The sequence below is a fragment of the Homo sapiens genome, chromosome 16 (assembly GCF_000001405.40).
Source record: "Homo sapiens chromosome 16, GRCh38.p14 Primary Assembly".
NCBI lineage: Eukaryota > Metazoa > Chordata > Mammalia > Primates > Hominidae > Homo > Homo sapiens.
The window spans coordinates 48,204,707-48,224,192 of NC_000016.10; the positions used below are offsets into that span (position 1 = coordinate 48,204,707).

General features: G+C 46.0%; 1 protein-coding gene across 14 annotated transcripts in view; it reads right to left on the reverse strand.

The window, feature by feature from the left end:
• ABCC11 (ATP binding cassette subfamily C member 11) overlaps nt 1-19,486 on the reverse strand; it is an 82,721-nt gene that overhangs the window by 39,888 nt on the left and 23,347 nt on the right. For 11 of the 14 annotated variants that reach the window (XR_007064925.1, XM_017023798.3, XM_017023797.3 and 8 more), the window contains 8 exons: nt 17,892-18,125; nt 11,408-11,581; nt 10,491-10,638; nt 10,175-10,323; nt 8,737-8,844; nt 6,242-6,493; nt 3,719-3,790; nt 707-831 (listed from right to left, as the gene is read on the reverse strand). Coding sequence is in view for 13 of the 14 variants with exons in the window: in XM_017023798.3 (XP_016879287.1) it covers nt 707-831; nt 3,719-3,790; nt 6,242-6,493; nt 8,737-8,844; nt 10,175-10,323; nt 10,491-10,638; nt 11,408-11,581; nt 17,892-18,125 (1,262 nt within the window). In the remaining variant the exon portion in view is untranslated. Of the gene's footprint in view, nt 1-706; nt 832-3,718; nt 3,791-6,241; nt 6,494-8,736; nt 8,845-10,174; nt 10,324-10,490; nt 10,639-11,009; nt 11,381-11,407; nt 11,582-11,974; nt 12,026-17,891; nt 18,126-19,486 lie in introns of those variants that run through there. The other 3 variants (XM_024450475.2, XM_017023801.3, XM_017023802.3) reach the window with 3 other exon arrangements.

The following is a 19,486-nucleotide window of genomic DNA, read 5'->3' on the forward strand; positions in this document are numbered from 1 at the left end:
GGGGGCAGATTGCAAAACCAAGCAAACAGTCACAGGTCAGAGTCCACCATAGTTGGAAGCGTAGCTGTAGCATTCAGAGCAGTTTTCCTGGACCCTTCACTGAACAGGCTTCACTCATGACATTCAATCTCATGTCTTGGGCAGGTTAACCCGAGAATTCTAGGGCAGGGAGAAGCCATAGAGGGAAAGGAGGGATATGGACAAGACTTGGGAGATCCACGGGGCCATAGATTCAAACTGGTTTCCTCTATGTCACAGAACCTCATCACTCCCATTTGTTTTCCTTTTCACAGAACCTCATCGCTCCCATTTGTTTTCCTTTTCACTTAGGGGCCAAGATTTAACGAATACAAATGAAGTTCAAATGTAGCAATATTGGAGGGGGAGAGTGTATTGACTATTTTGAGCCAATATAGCGTAATAGTTAAGCACGAAGTTTCTGAAAGCAACTGGGTTCAAATCCTGGCTCTATCACATCCCACCACCTGGGTGACTTCGGGCAAATTATTTAACCTCTTGGGGCCTCAGCTGATTCATCTGGAAAATTGATATGATGGTATTTCTTTCACAGTGAGGGGTGAATATGATAATGCGTTTAAGTGGAGCACACAAGTGTTAGCAGTTGTCAGGTTACCGTTTGAAGCTGGAGGTGCCCCCAGACCAGCCACATGCCCTGTACTCTCCCTTTCCCCTCCCAGGAGCTTACCGGGCCTTGTCATATGCGCCTCCCATGAGGATGTTCTCCCTGATGTTCCCGCTGACGATCCAGGCCTGCTGGGGGACATAGGCCAGGCTTCCCTGCACCCCCACCGAGCCCTCGAGCAAGTGCATCTGCGGCAGAATGAGTCCAGCCTCAGGACCAATTGGGCCAAGGGACAGAGCCTGCCTGGCTCAGCAGGCACAGTGCCCAGGGCCCCACTGCCCTCCAGGACCTTGGGGGCTCTCCTAGGTAAAAGGGACTTTTAATGTGGCCCTACCAGGCCCACCAGCGAGTTCCAGGGACCGGCCATGAGAACATGTGGAAGCAGCTGGAGATAAGCCCAGCCAGGTCCTGCTTGGACTGAATCCAAGGTCTGCACTAAAGACACTCCATACGTTTTTTCCTCTTTTTTTTTTTTTTTTGAGACGGAGTCTCGCTCTGTCGCCCAGGCTGGAGTGCAGTGGCACGATTTCGGCTCACTGCAAGCTCCACCTCCCGGGTTCACACCATTCTCCTGCCTCAGCCTCCTGAGTAGCTGGGACTACTGGCGCCTGCCACCACGCCCGGCTAATTTTTTGTATTTTTAGTAGAGACAGGGTTTCACCGTGTTAGCCAGGATGGTCTCGATCTCCTGACCTCGTGATCTGTCCGCCTCGGCCTCCCAAAGTGCTGGGATTACAGGCGTGAACGTTTTTTCCTCTTATTTGTCCCAGCCCCATTCCCTGGCAGCCAGTGCCTCCATGGTCTTCACCATGCACACCAAAAGTTCCAGGCTATCTCTGAGCATGCCTGGGTATTATGGAATTATTATTGTTAGGTAGGATAATGTTATCATGGTTAGGCAGAAAAATGTTCTTACTTTTGGACATCACGATGAAGTATTTAGAATGGAAAGTGTTATAACCTCTGTAATTTAAAGTATTCTACAAAATATATGTCTATATAGTAAGGTAAATATGCAAAAACTATCAACTGCTGCATCTAGATGGTGGGTATATGGATCCCTGCTGTAGTGTTCTTCCTGTTTTTCTGCCTAAGTTCAAAACAACACGTTAAAAACAAATAGAGATAGACACTCATCCCCAGCACCCTGACTTGGGACCTCATCATTCTTAATCCTTTCTCTTTTATACCCTAAAATGTTTACTTCTAGTTTGGAGCCAAGCTTTAATGAATAAGAACAAAACTTTAAAATGGCATCTCTGTCTTCCTTTATTAGAAGGAAAGTGACAGGCTCATTTACATAGGAAACTGACAAACCACTGGGCACGTAGGAGGTGGTCTTGCCTGGAGGCTGCCAGGCAATGCTGCTGTGATGTAGAACAGAGCTCTGACCTCAGGTGGACCTGGGACTCAGCCCTGGCTCACCCCTTACCTGCTGTATGACCTTGGATGAGTCACCTCTCAGAACCTCACGTACTCATCTGTAAATGGGTCATCGTGAGTATGCCTTTGTCATGGGAGGTTACCAGAGTTAAAGGGGAAAATGGAAAGCTCTTTGCACAGGACTTCGCATGTAAGTACTGAAGCTAGTTTTACAATTTTTTTTAATGGAGTCTTTCTTCTTTGCAGTTGCAAAGAAACCGGGGAAAGGCCATTCCACATGCAGCACGTGGCTGATGTGTTAAGAGAGAGCTGGCTTTGGTAACATAACCGCATTCCAAGGAGGGGATGAGTTTGGCAATGTTCATTTGGGAGAAGGAGCTGAGGGAAAAGCCGAAGAAAGGAAGGAAAACTTCTCCCAGTGTTGGGGGAACAAGGGACAATGGACAGAAGAAGAAGGGGGAAGAGATGGCAGCCCAGGAGGGGGTGAGGTTGGGGCTCCCTGGGGAAGGGCTGGTGTAAGACGCTTGAGGGAATGTGACCAAAAATGCATAGCAGGCGTCATGGGTGCTTTTAGTGTTCGTTATAAGGTGTGCAGTGTGACCCCAAAGGATCTGGGGAATGGGTTTGGGGTTTTTTTGAAACTGGAGAAATGGCCGGGCATGGTGGCTCACATCTATAATCCCAGCACTTTGGAAAGCTGAGGCAGGTGGATGACTTGAGGCCAGGAGTTCGAGACCAGCCTGGTCAACATGGTGAAACCACGTCTCTACCAAAAAATACAAAAATTAGCTGGGCATGGTGGCGCATGCCTGTAGTCCCAGCTACTCAGGAGGTTGAGGCATGAGAATCACTTGAACCCTGGAGGCAGAGGTTGCAGTGAGCCAAGATCACACCATTGCACTCCTGACTGGATGTGTCAAAAAAAAGAAGAAAGAAAGGAAGGAAGGGAAGGGAAGGGAAGGAAAGGGAAGGGAAGGGAAAAAGGAAAGAAAAGAAAGAAAAAAGAAACTGGAGAAAGGGTGTGTGAGCCACACATCCACATGGCAGCAGACCTCAAACTCGTCCACAGGGGATGGAATGGGGGGTTCAAATCTCAAGGGCAAGGGCACCCAGCAGGCATAGGTACCCCACTGCCAGAGTACGAGTAAGACTGCCCCATCCCATCCAGCAGGGCTCCTCTCCCCAGCCTTCCTTCCTTCTTTCTCCCTGTTTCTCCCCCCACATTTCTCTTCCGACGCCATCCTAAAAGGCACATACATCCCACTCCTCAATGTTATGAGTCTGGCTTTACAAAATGATTTTTATGCTCTTTTTTTTTTATAGGGACCATTGCAAGAGGGTATTGCAGTGTGGAAGAGAGACTAGACTCAACTCTCTGTGAAATAATTTGTATGATCATATTAACTTTGTGTTAATATCCTGTATCCTCACAGAGCACAGGTGAGGACAGGTCTCCAGGTGACATAAGAGGCAGCTTGCACCAGGAGCGCTGCCACAAGGTGAAGAGAGAGGGCCACCTTGATCACGCACCTCCCGCACAGTGCAAGCACAACCATTTTTGATTTATAAAAATCCCACTTGCTCAGACCCCTGTGAGGAAGAAAGCAGTGGGGGGCCCCGCCTGGGGCACTGGAGCTTGGGAGGGCCTGGACTGCCTGCAGACAGGCAAGCATGTGGCCACAGATCACTTACCTCCTCCAGGATGGCTGACAACAGGCTGCTCTTACCACTCCCCGTGTTGCCGCAGACCCCTAACATCATCCCCTGCAAGCCAAGGAGGACATACAAGTGTTGGGACAGCATAGCCCTGGCATACCCACCTGCCCATGGCGGCTCAACTGTTTAGAACCCAAAACAACACACAGAAAACAAAATAACCACACAGAGCCCAAGACTCCTCAGACAGGCAAAGCTCAAGAGGAGCTTTGTGCTCAGTCCCTGGAGGCAGGTGGGGTGACCCGAGAGGAAGGAGATCACAAGGGAAAGGCAGAGGGGAATTCAGGGGTAGGTGGCAAGAACCCTGAATTCCAGATTTGTGTCTATTCTATGCAGCAATCCTGGGAAAGCCACTTAGCCTCTCTGGGCCTCAGTTTCTCCATTTGTGAAATGGGAATAAAGAAGCCAGCCTCACAGAATTTCATGCATGCATGCATGCATTCATTTATTGAAGCATTCATTCACCCATCAAATAGTGATCTGAGTTTCCTCTATGGACCTAGTAATGAAGAAAAGACCTCACATTGAGCTCAGAATATAAGCTGAGGGGATGGGAAGACAGAGAGACTACATAAATAAATAAATATCAGATGGAGATAAGTGATATGAGTAAAATGAAGTTGACTCTTATGACAGACAGAAAGTTGGGGGTTGAGGCAATTTTAGATGGGTCAGCCAGGGAAGGCTTCTACAGAGCAGGTGTCATTGCTGCCCAAGAGCTGTGAGAACACTGGTGGGAAAGAGTTCAGAGGTACAGGTACAGATTTGGAGGAACCCGGGCTCTAAGGGCAGTGAAAAGTCACTGAAGGGTTTAAGGAGAGTGACTTGCATTGGCTTATGTTTTAGAAAGATCCCTCTGTCATGGTATAATGCAGCTGCCCCCAATCTTTTTGGCACCAGGGACCAGTTTCATGGAAGACAATTTTTCCACCAACTGAGGGATGGCAGGGGATTGGTTTCAGGATGAAACTGTTCCACCTCAGATCATCAGGCAAGATTCTCATAAGGAGTGTGCAACCTGGATCCCTCTCATGCACACTTCACAATAAGATTCGCTCTCCTATGAGAATCCAATGCTGCCGCTGATCTGACAAGAGGCGGAGCTCAGGCGGTGATGCTCACTGGCCTGCTGCTCACCTCCTGCTGTGCGGCCTGGTTTCTAACAGGCTGTGGACCAGTGCAGGTCTACCGCCCAGGTGTCGGGGTCCCCTGGTATAATGGATTTTGGAGGGTCAGAGAGACAGAGGATGGGAGTGGGGCGAGAGATACAAACTACCTATTGGGTACAATGCACTCTATCGGGTCACGGGTGCACTAAAATCTCGACTTCACCACAATACAACTCCTCCGTCTAACCAAAACCCACTCGTACCCCAAAAGCTATTGAAATAAAAAATATATATTAATTATTTAAAAAAGGAAAATCCCTCTGTCTGCTGTATGGTAGAAGGCTCATAAGAAGGCGAAAGTGGGAGCAGAGAGGTGGATGAGGAGGTTCTGGGAGCGGCGTGACAGTGGCAGGGATAGGGCAGTGGAGGGGCTATGGTGAGGGTGGCAGGTTTGGGGCAGATGTGGAAGTCAAGCTGACAGGCCTTGCTGGTGGATTGGATTCGAGGGAGGGAAGGAAAGGAATCAAGTGTGACTTCCAGGTCCTCAACCACTGGAAGGATGATGGTGCCATCTCCCAGGAAACGGAAGATTTGGGGAACTCGTCAAAGGGGGTGAATATCAAAACCTTATTTCATTTTAAATGCTTGATGGACATTTAAGAGAGATATTAAATAGGCAGTTGAGTCTGGAGTCCAGAAGATACTTCAAGGCTAGAGATAATAGCACAGAGATAGAATTTAAAACCGCAGGGCTAGAGATGATCACCAAGGAAGAAAGTATAAATAGATAAGAGACAGTAGATATTAGATATTAACACCTATTACTACTAGATATTATCTATTTTTTAGACATTTATCATTATATATAGATCAATATCTATATCTATTCTATATCAATTATTATAAGGTATCAATATCTACATTAATAGATAACAGAGAAGAAAAGAGGAGGGGCGAAGAGGAGACAGCAGGAAGCTAATTTTTGTAAACATTAGGCAGAGAAAGAACCAGATAAGGTGAGTTCACAGAATAACCAAATTCAAACACAGGATAGTGCTTGGCACATACGAGGAATGTAATAAATGTTAGCTGGGTCTCCTTTCCCTTCTCCTTTCTGTGTCCTTAGTTCTTCCAAGGACAAGCACACAGTACTCTCATATTATTTTGGGTCTTACCTAAGCCAAAAAAATTTTAAATGATAGATTAATTCACATTAAAAAATGAACGATATCCTGTGTTTGCCCTCCATGAAAAATTTGAATTTTAAGGGGAGAGATCTTGGAGAGGGCAGTTTTTAACCAAGGAAATGGTGGGGCACCTGGCCAAGCTCCTAGCCTCAGGTCCTGAGAGCCTGGCAGCTGGCCTGCCTGCGTGGCCTGAACAAGGCTACCTTGGACACCACCAGGTTGATCTTGTGCAACTCTGGGCCCAGGCTGTTCCCTTCTTCCTCTGGCCCGAGGGCATCTCTAGGCCTGGTCATCCCCTCAGAAGCATGCCCGTTCCTCTCCAGCTCCAGTGCCCCATTGACGATCCCGGGACAGGTCTGTTGCCATGACAAGGTGGCCTCCTCAAAGACCAGAGCTTTGCTGGGGTCTTGTAATGTCTGGACATAGAAAACAGGGCTCTCCTGGAGGAAAAACTTCTGTAAAGACAGAAAAAAATAGAGGGAGGAGGAATACAGTTCTTTAGTTCAGCAGGAATGTGTTCCCAGTTTTACAAGTCTGCCAGTTGGTATGGTTTTGTGAATTTCTAATAAGCAGTAAAAGTTTGCAGAAGTACCACCAGTTAGGAAAGGCCAGTTTCTGTGGGTGAAAATTCCAGGTCAGTGTTTTCCAAATTTCAGACCACCGGGCCACTCTTCCATATTTGCAAACACTGCACTGTCAACTGCAACTCTGCGCTCAGGAGGTTGACTAAGGCCTAACCTACATTAGCCTCATCCCAAGTGATGATAGCCATTGACTCATAGGATTGATGTTTTTCCAATTAAATTCTATTTAGATTGGGCTGGACATAATGGCTCATGTCTGTAATCCTAGCACTTTGGGAGGCCAAGTCGGGGGATTGCTTAAGCTTGGGAGTTTAAGACCAGCCTGGGGACCATAGTGAGACTTCCATCTCTTTAAAAAAAAAAAAATCTACTTGTAGCTATTGAAAATAAAAAGCTCTGTCCGTGTCCCACACTGGGGAAAGGTCATTTGGGGTCATACATTTCAAAAGGTGATCATCAGCAGGTCAATTCTCTCTGCATCTCCAGCTCCCTGTCTATAAAGCACAAGGGTTGAACTACATAAATTCAAGCAATTAAAAGAATGGAGGGGAGTATGATCCTATGGAAGTCAGGTTACATTCACATATCCCTACCTGGAGATATGCTTAAGAGATCTAGAAGGATGCTTCCTGACATTTTGGACTCTCTTACCCATCCTTCTGAGCTCAGATTGTGGCTTCCTCATCTCTGCCCCCTCCACAGGTGAAAACAGGCACAGAAGGGGAGAATGAATGGGTGAACCCAGTGTCCCATGGGAAGGAAGGCAGCAGTAGGAGCCTTCTCATAGCTGCTGAGAAGTCAGGGAAGCGCACTGGGCTGGTGATAAGCAAAGCACTGTTTGTGTTACTCAGAGCAGCCAAGCTCATTCCAGCCTCAGGGCTTTCACACTTGCTGTTTCCTCAGCCTGGTCATCATCACTCAAAGTCATCTTCGCAGGGGCCTTCCCTAACCAGGCTCTTCCTAGGAACCCCCAGCCCTCCCCAACTTACTCCCTAGAACAGGCGTGTCCAATCCCTTGGCTTCCCTGGGGCACACTGGAAGAACTGTCTTGGGCCACACAGAAAATACACTAACACCAATGATAGCTAATGAGCTAAGAAAAAAAACAGCAAAAATAAAAATCACCTAATGTTTTAAGAAAGTTTACAAATTTGTGTTGGGCCACATTCAAAGCCATCCTGGGCCGCATGCGACCTGTGACCCAGGTTGGACAAGCTTGCTCTAGGACATCACATTGTTTTATTGGCATCATGGCTCTTCATGTGATCTGATCTAATCCTCTTTGATCATTAATTTACTTGTTAATTGTCTGTTTCCAATACCAAATCAGAACTCCCTGACAGCAGGGACCCCTGTTCAATACAGTATTCTCAGTGCCTGGCTTGTGGTAGGAGCTCAATAAATATTTTTTGCATTAATGAGTGAATGAGTGATAATAGGTCGTGGACTGCATGTATGTAAAAGTGGAGTGACTACAAAATGACTTTTAAGAATTGGTTTAGATTAGGGTTTTCAAACTCAGATGCCAGCTATGTAAATAAGTGAAGTGGACCATTTTTAAGATGATAAATGGTAAGTAAAATGCAGCTCCAGGCCTGGAGGTGCAATAGGGTATGGTAGAGACTGCAGCAAACTGCAGCTAAATGCCTCCATCTAAACAAGGCAGGTATTGCCTCAACTCCAGCGGCTTGTGGCCATGGTAGAATGTGGTCCAGGGTCACTAGACCTTCTAATCATTCAAGAGAATTCAAAAATCTGGGTTTTCACATAAAATGTCCAAGTTTTTCAATGCAAGCAACATCTATGGTGTTTTTCTAAAACAAAACTATCTATTGGGGTAACTCTATGCAAACCTGGATAAAGTCTGCAGAGCATCTGTCTGAGACCTGGTTTGGACACACTATCCTAAGATCTTCTTGGGGACTGAGACCTGACCCGATTCATCTGTCTTCCCAGGCTCCACACCAGCCTTGGAACAGGAGGTCACTGAGTTAGCTAATCCCTCTCTCGACCTAGGCCTTGGCCAGGGGACGTGTTCTGGAGGAACATCATGGGGGCTGAAGGCAGAGGAGCGTCCAAGCAGGGGGCCTACAGCCAGTCCCCTGATGACCTACCTTGAACCTCATCACTGCAGACTTGGAATTCGTGAGACCTTTGACTGCAATAGGCACAAAGAACACTGACAGCCGAAGGAGATTCAAGGAGGCCAGCATGCTGAAGGCCTGGATAAGAAGGGGAGGAGGTGGTGAGGGTCGTGGCCCTTCCTGCTTCCTCCATTCCCTGTCACCCGCATCCCTGAGCCACATCCTCAGCATCCAACAAGCAGTTGCTTCATCCAACAGAGGCTAAGCTAGTGTTTGGAGGAGACTGGAAAAAGCTGGGGAAAGAGCACTCGTCCTGGAGTCTTAGAGTCAAAGGCCTAGTCCCTGTTGCAGCTTAGCCACTGACATCTCTAGCTTTGGGCAGGTTGCCCCTACCACAGCCCAGTTTCCCCATTGGCATAGTGAGAAAAATCATAAAGTGTATACAGGAATAAAGTTGGGAAAAAACAAGAAAATTCATGTGAGTGAGCATTGCTTCCTTTCAATGTAGCTTGGTGCTATTCTTGCTGTCAAGGTCCTATTTCTTCTTCTTTGCCTTAGATGTTTGTTTTCTTTCTAACATTCAACATCTCCTTACCCTTCATGCCTAACCCATGCTGCACTGTGACTATAGCAAAACACCTTAGGCTCTCAGGACCCAGAAGGTGCCCTCCTGGAGGTGCCGAAAGAACCTTCCAATCCATACCCATCTCTCCTTCTTTCTTCTCCTGGCTTCATCCAAAAATGAACTCCAATGGAGCAGGAATGCCTTCGTCTAGACCTGCCTTGTGTCATCTCAGTGTGAGCCTCAAGTACCTCTGAAAGTATTCCTTCTATAGCGCCCCCAACACCCTCAGACTTCTCGGGGGTGTTTTCCTGGTGCATGCCTGAGCCAAGCAGAGGGGCCAGCCATCTGGGGCACACACAACCCCTTGGCTGCAGACTCTCAAATGCTTCCCTTCTTGCTCTGGGTGCTGCCTCCTGGCCTCCCCAGTTGGATTACCACCCCTCCAAGAGCAGCACCCTGTCTTATTCTGCTCAAAGAGCAGGGATTCCTAACACTGAAAGGCAGCTGCCACTTCTCAGGGCCAGGTTCCGACCACGAAGGGAAGGACTGAAGACGCTATACCTTTGTATTTAAAGTGCACTCCCAGGGCCCTTATTTAGGGATTAGAGGAACTCCACAACCTCAAGGTGTTATTCAAATTGTCAGAATTTTAACTACAAGTACCACCTCCCCCACACCCCCGATGGTTCTGCTGTCCAGCCCGCCCACAGGGCTATCCAAGATGTCACTTTTTCAGATGGGTTGAGATGGAAGACAGCACTGTACTTTTGTCTGGAAAATCAAAATCAACATATAATGTCCATTTACAAAGCCTTCAGACCTTTGAGGGGCATGGCTAAAAAAGGACACGTGAGAAAATTCCCAATCATGATGGGGAGAAAACAAAGCCCCCCAAACCCTTACCATTGACGCTGTGAGTTTCAGCTTTAAGGATGTGTGGATGAGAACCCAGACCGCTGTGGCCACTGTGGGGATGATGAACAAGGTTATACTTGTCAGGCTCTGGACAAGCCCGCACTTCTCCAATAGTTTCCTTTCCTTCCTTCTTAGGTCTGGGAAATAAAAAAGAAATACACCAAAGATAACCACAAGAACATTCTCCAAAGAGCACAGCACCATCCCCAAAGCATTAAAAAGAAAAAAAATCCTCAAGAGGTGAGAGGGGCTCGGCTTACCATGCCATCACCAGGTTTGGAGCAGAAAGTCAGACTTTCCATACCTTCAATGATTTTTGCAAATGGTTTCTCCCATGTGTACATTTTAATCAGCTTAATGCAAGTGAGAACTTCACTGGTCACACGGATGCGCTGGTCGCTGACCTCAGATGTGTGATGCTGAGCCTTCACAGCCATTCTTGTCATGAATACCTGGAGTCAGGATACAGCAAGTTTGGAGTTGATCTGCAAGGGCTTCCTTTGACAAGGGCAGGAGAGTTCAGCCTGGCATAAGTAGGGCAACTGGGTGTATTTCCAAAGAGAGGTTTTCCAATCAAAGCTCTCCAGGCCACTATGCCTTAGAGCATCCCAGGGGCCTTTCTTTCCTGAGTCCCAAGCCAGGCTATGGCTACTTAGACAGAAACTAAACCGAAATGGTTCCTCTGTCTTCTGGAACCCTAAACCCTCTAATAATTAAAATCATCTTTCCATCAGAGTGACTGCACTCAGGAAAACACTCAATTTCAATAATTCAGAGCACACATAATCCAAGAATCATTTCTGTTTTCTCAATTTTATTTCACCTGAATCTTTGGCAACAAATATGCTTCCCTTTCCCCATTATACTGTGCTCAGACAAATGTTAAATGCTGGCTGTGTTATTACATCAGCACATTCTGGGGAGAAGAGACGGAACAAAAATCTCGCACAGAGATTATCTACAAAGGAAAGTTGTCGAAGCAGATAATCTCCCATAGAAAGCTACGAGGTAGACTTTGCACATCACATTCACCTCTTATTTACTTCTTAACCGAATGTTGTGGCCAGAGAATAGTTTGAAGTAGGGAGTGGAGCTGAATCTTAACCACAATGGATTGAAAGGTCAACAAGAATCAATGTTCTCACTCAGAGCTATCCCAGATTCCAGAGCCCTGGGACTTCTGGGGCCCAGCATCAAATGGGTGACAGAGAAAGACATTACCGCCAGTGGGAAAACCAGGAGATAGCATAAGATGGCAATAAATGCAGTGTATCCAATAATGAAGTAGGAAGAAATGCTGCAGATGACCAGCGATGCGCAGGTGATCAGTACTAGGGGTCCATAGCACACCCCTTCAAACAGGTAGTTTACATCACCGGTGAAGAAGCTGATGGCCTGCAAGACAGCAAGTTGATGGGCACAGATGTCACCTCCCTGGGTACACAGAAGGGGTGGCAGGTGGCCTCCCCATGCCCTCTCCTAGCAGGAAGGCTTGAAAGGAAGGGTGGAAGAGTAGAGACAGACACCCCAGGTTCACATCTTTCTTCTCTCTGGCTGTGTGACTCTCAACAAGTTACTTTACCACTCTGAGCCTCAGCTTCTCCATCTGTAAAGCTGGAATAATTATACTTACTTTATATGGGTTTTGTGAGATTTCAATAACATAGAAAGTGTCTGCACACATAGAATGTGCTCAATAAAAGGGATATTTTACTACGATTAATACTACTACTATTACTACTGCTACTGAAACCATGACCCAAAGAGTTAAAGAAACCAGTAACTAACAGAAATTCTTGAGTTTGTAGGATAGCAGTTACAGAAAGAAACAACTTGCTGAAAGTCCCTCTGCTTTTAAGATAACAGAACTGGCTAAAATCGGTGGAACCAGTATGGCTAACTAGAGTCTGTACAGAACCAGCTTGCTAACGTCACAGCCTAAATTTTCACCACATATTTCATACTAATTCCCTGTGAATTTGCAAATGGGACCCATGAAGAGACATGAAGAGATCACTGCATATACACAAGGGCTTTTCAGACCTCCCCTCTCATTCCACCAATCACCTACTAATCTCAGAATCCACCCCTTAAATCTTTCCTAATAAAATCACTGTCTTAAAGCAAGGACAAGGAGACAGATCTGGGCTGGACTCCTGTCTCCTTGTGAGCCAATTTGCAATAAAAAGCTTTTCTTTTCTCAAAAACCCAGTGTCAAAGTATTGGCTTCTAGCACATTAGGCAGTGAGCCCCTTTTGCTTGGTAACACCACTAATATCTATATTCCAGAGAATTGCTTCTATTCTTCACTCGATTCTATTCATTCTACTACTAATAATAATATTAATTAAATTTTCTCCTTTTTTTTCTTTTTTGTTATAGATTCTTCTGCCTACTTCCCTCCTCCCACATATACTGCCTGGCTCAACGCTATATAAAAAGTAACATTTGGCCGGGCACAGGGAGGCCAAGGTGGGTGGATCACTTGGGCCCAGGAGTTTGACACCAGCCTGAACAACATGGTGAAACCCCGTCTCTATAAAAAGTAGGAAAATTAGCCAGGCACGGGGGCACATGCCTGTAGTCCCAGCTTCTCAGGAGGCTGAGGCGGGAGGATTACTTGAGCCCGGCAGATCAAGGCTGCAATGAGCTGTAATCATGCCACTGCACTTCAGCCTGAGCAAGAGAATGAGACCTAGTCTCAAAATAAAAACAAAAACACAAAATCTTACATTCCAAATCAGGAAATCTTTAAAGAACAATTCACTAATGTTTTCTAGAATTGCCAGTCTGAATCCCTTACAAAGTGATTTGCTTTTAACTTTCACCTAAACTCCTTCCAGTTTCCAGGACATGCCCTAGTGGGAGCCTTTAAAACATTTAAAAGTACATCAGGGAGCATAAATTGGTATAGCCACTCTGAAGGGCAATTTTAAAGTATCTTTTAAGATTAAAAATTGCACAAAACTCTATGATCTGGCAATTTCATTTTTCTGTTGCGAAACATTCACACATGTTAGATGAAGCACATACAAGGATGTTCATTACAGCACTGCTTACACCAGCCAAATGCTGGAAACATCTTACAAGTTGGTGGAAAAGGATTTAAAAAGTCCATCCCAGGCTGTGCAAAGTGGCTCACATCTACGATCCCAACACTCTGGGAGGCTGAGGCAGGATGATTGTTTGAGGCCAGGAGTTCAAGACCAGCCTGGGCAACATAGCAAGACCCCATCTCTAAAAAAAATTAAAAATTAGCCAAGCATGGTGGTGTGTGCCTGTAGTCCTAGCTACTCAGGAGGCTGAGAGAGGATGATTGCTGGAGCCCAGGAGGTCCAGACTGCAGTGAGCTATGGTGGCACCACTGCACTCCAGCCTGGGTGATAGAGTGAGAACCTGTCTCAGACAACAACAAAGTCACCCCAGAAGTAGTAGGCAATCTTGGGTCCTAGAGCTAAACTGTCAGAGCTCATGCCCCAGACTTGTCATTTACTAGATGTGCAACCATAGACAAGTTACTCCACGTCTCTGTGCCTCTGTCACCTCATCAGTGAAATGGAAATAATAATACAACCTACTTTCTCATATTGATTTGAGAACGGTGCTAGATAATGCATATATAGCACTTTATTCAGGCATGTCAAAAGTACTGTAATTATGATTCAGCATCACTGAATAAAATAATGATATGGTTTGGCTGGGTTCCCACCCAAATCTCATCTTGAATTGTAGCTCCCACAATCACCATATGTTGTGGGAGGGACTATTCTCATGACAGTGACTAAGTCTCACAATATCTGATGGTTTTATATGGGGGGAGTTTCCCTACACAAGCTCTCTCAGTCTCCCTTGTCTGCCACCATGTAAGATGTGCCTTTCACCTTCCGCCATGATTGTGAGGCCTCCCCAGCCACGTGGAACTGTGAGTCCACTAAGCCTCTTTTCCTTTATAAATTACCCAGTCTTGGGTATGTTTTTATCAGCAGCGTGAAAATGGACTAATACAAATAAGGACGATCTATGTGTGCTAACTGGAAAGCTCTGGAAAGCTCAGTCACAATAAGCAGGAGGGAAAGCTACAAAGCAACACAAAGATGTAGTATCATTGATGTAAAAAATCCCCCAAAAGCTATGTTCTACATTTTCTATTGGCAAAACCAAGAGGAGGACGCTATGTAAAACATAGTACCACTTACATAAAAATACACAAACACAAAATCCAATGTTTTTTATGGGTACCTTGCATGTGTACCTAAATGGACTGTTTTGGTTTTGGGTTTTTTTTTTTTTTTTTTGAGACTGGGTCTCACTATGTTGTCCAGGCTGGGGTTCAGTGGTACAATCTCAGCTCACTGCAACCTATGCCTTCTGGGCTCAAGCCATCTTCCTTCCTCAGCCTCCTAAGTAGCTGGGACCACAGGCGCACGCCACCACGCCCAGCTAACTTTTTGCATTTTTGGTAGAGATGGGATTTCGCTCTGTTGCCAAAGCTGGTCACAAACTACTGAACTCAAGCGATTCATCCAACTCGGCATCCCAAAGTGCTGGGATTACAGGTGTGAGCCATCCTGTCCAGTCAAATGTGCTTTAAAAGGTCTGAAGTACAAAAACCAAGTTGCTAATGGTGCTAATCTCTGGGCACAGGGGAAGAAACTAGGCCTAAGGCAACTTCTATACTATTTTATTTTGTTTCCAAGGAGAATGTATTCAGATAATTTTAAAAAATTAATTTTAGTGCAAGAGAAAGGACAAAGAAATGTTTTTAAGTAAAAGAAAATTTTTTAATTAATTTAAAAATAAAATGTAGGCTGGGAGCTGTGGCTCATGCCTGTAATCCCAGCACTTTGGGAGGCCAAAGTAGGCAGGTCACCTAAGGTCAGGAGTTTGAGACCAGCCTGGCCAACATGGTGAAACCCCGTCTCTACTAAAAATACAAAAATTAGCCAGGCGTGGTGGCACACACCTGTAGTCCCAGCTACTCGGGAGGCTGAGGCAGGAGAATCGCTTGAACCCAGAAGGCAGATGTTGCAGTGAGCCAAGGTTGCACTATTGCATTCCAGCCTGGGCAACAATAGGGAAACTCCAGCTCAAAAATAAATTAATTAATTGAATTAAATTAAAATGTATATAAGCAACTGCCTAGAAATCCTTACTTCAGAAATTACTTCCATCTCCACTCTCAAATAGACCATTTTGTTTTATGCTTCTATGAAGATGTTTGAGGAAACTGGATTTTGCATACAGCAGGTGCTCAGAATATACAGAAAGGAACCAAGCTAGGCCTTAGCACAGGGCTCCTTAGTGAGGCGGGTGACTGCAAGGGTTGAAGACCCGGACTCTGCAGCCAGGCACCATGTCCAAATTCAGGCCCCAGCACTTAGCAATCACATGACCTTGTACAAGTTACCTACCCTTTCCTTGCCTCAGTTTCCTCCTTTGTGACAATGGGGACAATAACAGAAACTGCCACACAAGAGGGATGTTAGAGAACTGACCAAGCGAATGTAAGTAATGACTTGGAGCAACGTATGGCTAAGAGTAAGTTAGGGGTTGTTACGATGACTTTCCTGAGATAAACAGGGAGATCTTTTAGCTGTGGGTCAAGTGCAGGAGGACAGTGGAGCTCAAGGCCTAATGGAAACTAACACTAATTGTACAGCTTACACTTGTCAACCACTACCCCCGTCTACATGCTTTACATGTACAAACTCACTGAATCCTATGAGACAACAATCCTATGAGGTTGGTTCTATTATTATTCCACAGCTTCAGAGAGGCTGAACAAATTACCTAAGGCCACAGAACCAATAAAATGGTGAACAGTAATAACCATAATGATTCCAATAAATACCTAATGTTTGTTAGTGCTTGCATTTATGGAACGCCTCTACTTGATGGCAATGAATAATTCAGCAGATGTTTTTGGAATATCTGTTCTGTGTAATTCAGGTGTTGGGCCTTTTGAGAGACAGAGTGGTGAATCTGAAATGGTTTGTGTCTTTGAAGGGGGCTCATATTAGTAGGGCAGCCAGATTTGTGCAAAAAGAACTGCAAATGCTTAGCAGGGAATGCCAGTAGAAGGCTGGGTTTGGAGATCCCGTCACGGAGGAGAGGAAAAATAAACTGGGTCTTGAAGGATGAGTGGGATTTTTAAAGGGCTGGGAGTGGGAGTGACATAAGCAAAGTCACCAGGAGGGGGATGTGCCCGGTGTAATTGAGGACTGGAGGTTAAGCCCAGCCTAGGTGGCAGGAGGAAGTCAAGCTAGGGCTAGAGGAGAGGACACAGGAAGAGATGAGGCTGGAAAGGGGCTAATAACAGATCACAAAGGGGGTTGGCTTAAAGGAAAGGAGCCAAAGCAGTGTTGCCTTTTCCAAAAATTAAAGTATCTGTTTCAATATCAAAGTAACCCACAACCCTCGAGGCAATTGGTAAACCACAGAAAAATAAAGATATCAAAATGAAATAGATGAAATCCCAGTATCCCCCACAACTATAGGTCATAAGTTGGAGTTTCTTCCTCCATTTCTGTCAATGGTTGTTTGTGTTATGCTGTAAAAAAAAAAAAAGCAAGAGTAAGAATGGACAGTAACAATAACCAGGCAGGTGAAAGGATTCCTTTTTTGCAGATAAGGAAATTAAAACTCTGAGATGTTACCAAAAATTGCTTTTCCCTGGAAGATTTCCCTAAGCCATCAAGTCTTCCCATACCCTCACCCTCAGGTTGGCTTAGGGGACGCACTTTCCAACATGCTTCTATTTGGGATTTGTGTCTTTTTGTTCAGGGGCCTATCCCCAGGGTCTAGAACATAATCTGGCTCAGAATAGGCCTCAGTAACTATTTGGGGTGTGTGTGTGTGTGTGTGTTTGAGACAGGGTCTCGCTCCATCACCTAGGCTGGAGTACAGTGGTGTGATAATAGTTCACTGCAGCCTTGAACTCTTGGGCTCAAGCGATCCTCCTGCATTAGCCTCTCAAGTAGATGGGACTATAGGTATATACCACCATGCCTGGTTAATTTTTGTCTTTTTTTTTTTTTTTGAGACAGGCTGTCACTCTGTTTCCCAGGCTAGAGTGCAGTGGCGTGATCATGGCTCACTGCAGCCTCAACCTCCCTGGGCTCAGATGATCCTCCCACCTCAGCCTCCTGAGTAGCTGGGTCTACAGGCATGTACCACCAAGCCCAGCTAATTTTTTTTTTTTTTTTGCAGGGTTGGAAGTAGAAATAGGGTCTTGCCATGTTGCCCAGGCTAGTCTCAAACTCCTGGATTCAAGCAATCCTCCTGCCTTGGCCTTCCACAACTGGGATTACAAGACATGAGCCACCACAGATGGCTGATTTTTGTTTTTGCTTTGTTTTGTTTTTTGGTAGAGACGGAGTCTTTCCATGTTGCCCAGGCTAGTCTTGAACTCCTGACTTAAACAATCCTCCTGCCTGGGCCTCCCAAAGTTCCTACTTGTTGAATGAATGGATAAATCCTCTCTAGTCTCTGAATGTAAGTGGCATTTCCTGCATTATTGTTGACCTGCTTTCATGACACACAGGCAATTGTTAATGGTTATCCACACTCAACCTAGGAATTATTTTCTTTCTCTTTCTCCTTCCTCTTCTAACCCCCTTTTCTCCCTCTCTTGGCCCCCAGGGCAGTTATGTCCGGAGGAAGGGTAGGGAAGCATGGCCCAGAATAGGCAGTCCCAGCTGCTTACCTCTCCTGAGGTGATGTGTATTACAGACTTAAATTGGATGAGCTTCTCAAAGGCAAAGGAGGAAACAGCTGCTCGGAACCTGATGGCTGTGCGTTGGTTGATGATCCAACTGGAGGAGAAACTCAGAGACTTCACACATTCGGAGAGAAAAAGGGCAAAGCAGAGTCCCACTCCATGGACAACATTCCCCAACTGCTCTTCTGAATATTCCAGGATCTTTGGTATAATCAATATCTACAAGGAAATGGGAGTTTGGATCATTCAGACCACCCTGCCAGACACGTTTGATGTTTTGTTGCTGGAAGAAGGGTTGGGAGGTCTGATTCATGCTGGGGGTTTGTTGAAGGATCAAAACTGACTCAAGTACAATCCTGCCCTCAAGAAGGTTAAGGTCCAGTTGGAGGAGACTTAGGAGTTCAACTGACCCAGTTCTGCAACCTTAGGTGGCTGTCCTCATCCTGACAGGAGACAGGGGACACACACAAAACAGTGATTTAGGCGTTAACAAAGTGGCTTTACAAAGGTGTAGACAGAATATAGGAAATCCAACAAGGCCTGGTGGAGCACCATGAAGCTGGTGACAGCAGGGAACAGTGGCCTCCTTAGACTTAAGGGGCAAGAGCAGGAAGAGGTTCTGTGGCCCAAAAGGGGTGAGGCACACAGAGAGGGTCTGGACAGGAGCTCTGGTCACCAGCCTCCAAGGACAAGGAGGGAGGCCGCCTGGGGAATATGTATCTTGACCTCATCTTCTTCCTCCTTCCAGTCTCCTATTAGAATCTCCCACCGGTCAACCCCAACCAGAAGCCAGAGGGCAGTGGGGGTCCATTAATGTGATCCACATTAGGGGCACAGGGCAGGATGGAAAATGATGGAGAGTGGATCTAGAGGACCCGGCACCTAACTGTCACCCGACTCAGTTATCTCTGTTCTGTCATCGACTGCTGTTTCTTCCTGACCTACCTTCACCTCCCCGTAGCTGGTACCAGTGCCTCAGTTTTCTTCTGGGAAGACTCCCACCTCCCCCATTGGTGCAGTCTAGGCTGGACTGTAAATCAAAGTACCCCGCTTCTTCTGGCCAACCAGTGATCATGTGACCCCAGCTGGCCAATCAGACTCTTTCTCTCATATGAGACTCTTGGGCTGAGGAACTGGAGAATGATGGGAAATAGAGCACATTCATCCCAACCATGTTACCTGGAGAAGACCATTATTTCCTGCTACCTACATTCCCAGAGTTGCTCAGCCATTTCTCAGAGGAGCTAACATGTGCTGAGCCAGGCCATGTTCTAAATGCTTTATATACTTATCTCATTTAATGTTACCCTATGAGGCAGCTCTCCATTTTACATGCAAGGGTTTCCATAAGGTCTACACCTGAGGGTCCCATGGGATTCCATGGGGAAACCAAGTCGCAGAGAATGTGACTATATTGCTAGAAGTCACCCAGCAGCTAAGTGCCAGGGACATGGTTTGAATCCAAGCAGTGGCTACAGGGCCACTCCTTGGTGGTTAGCTACTCCTAACCACCATGCTCTACTGTCCTCAAAAGGTCTTCATTTTCTAGACAGCAACTGAAAGACAAATGCATCTCTAAC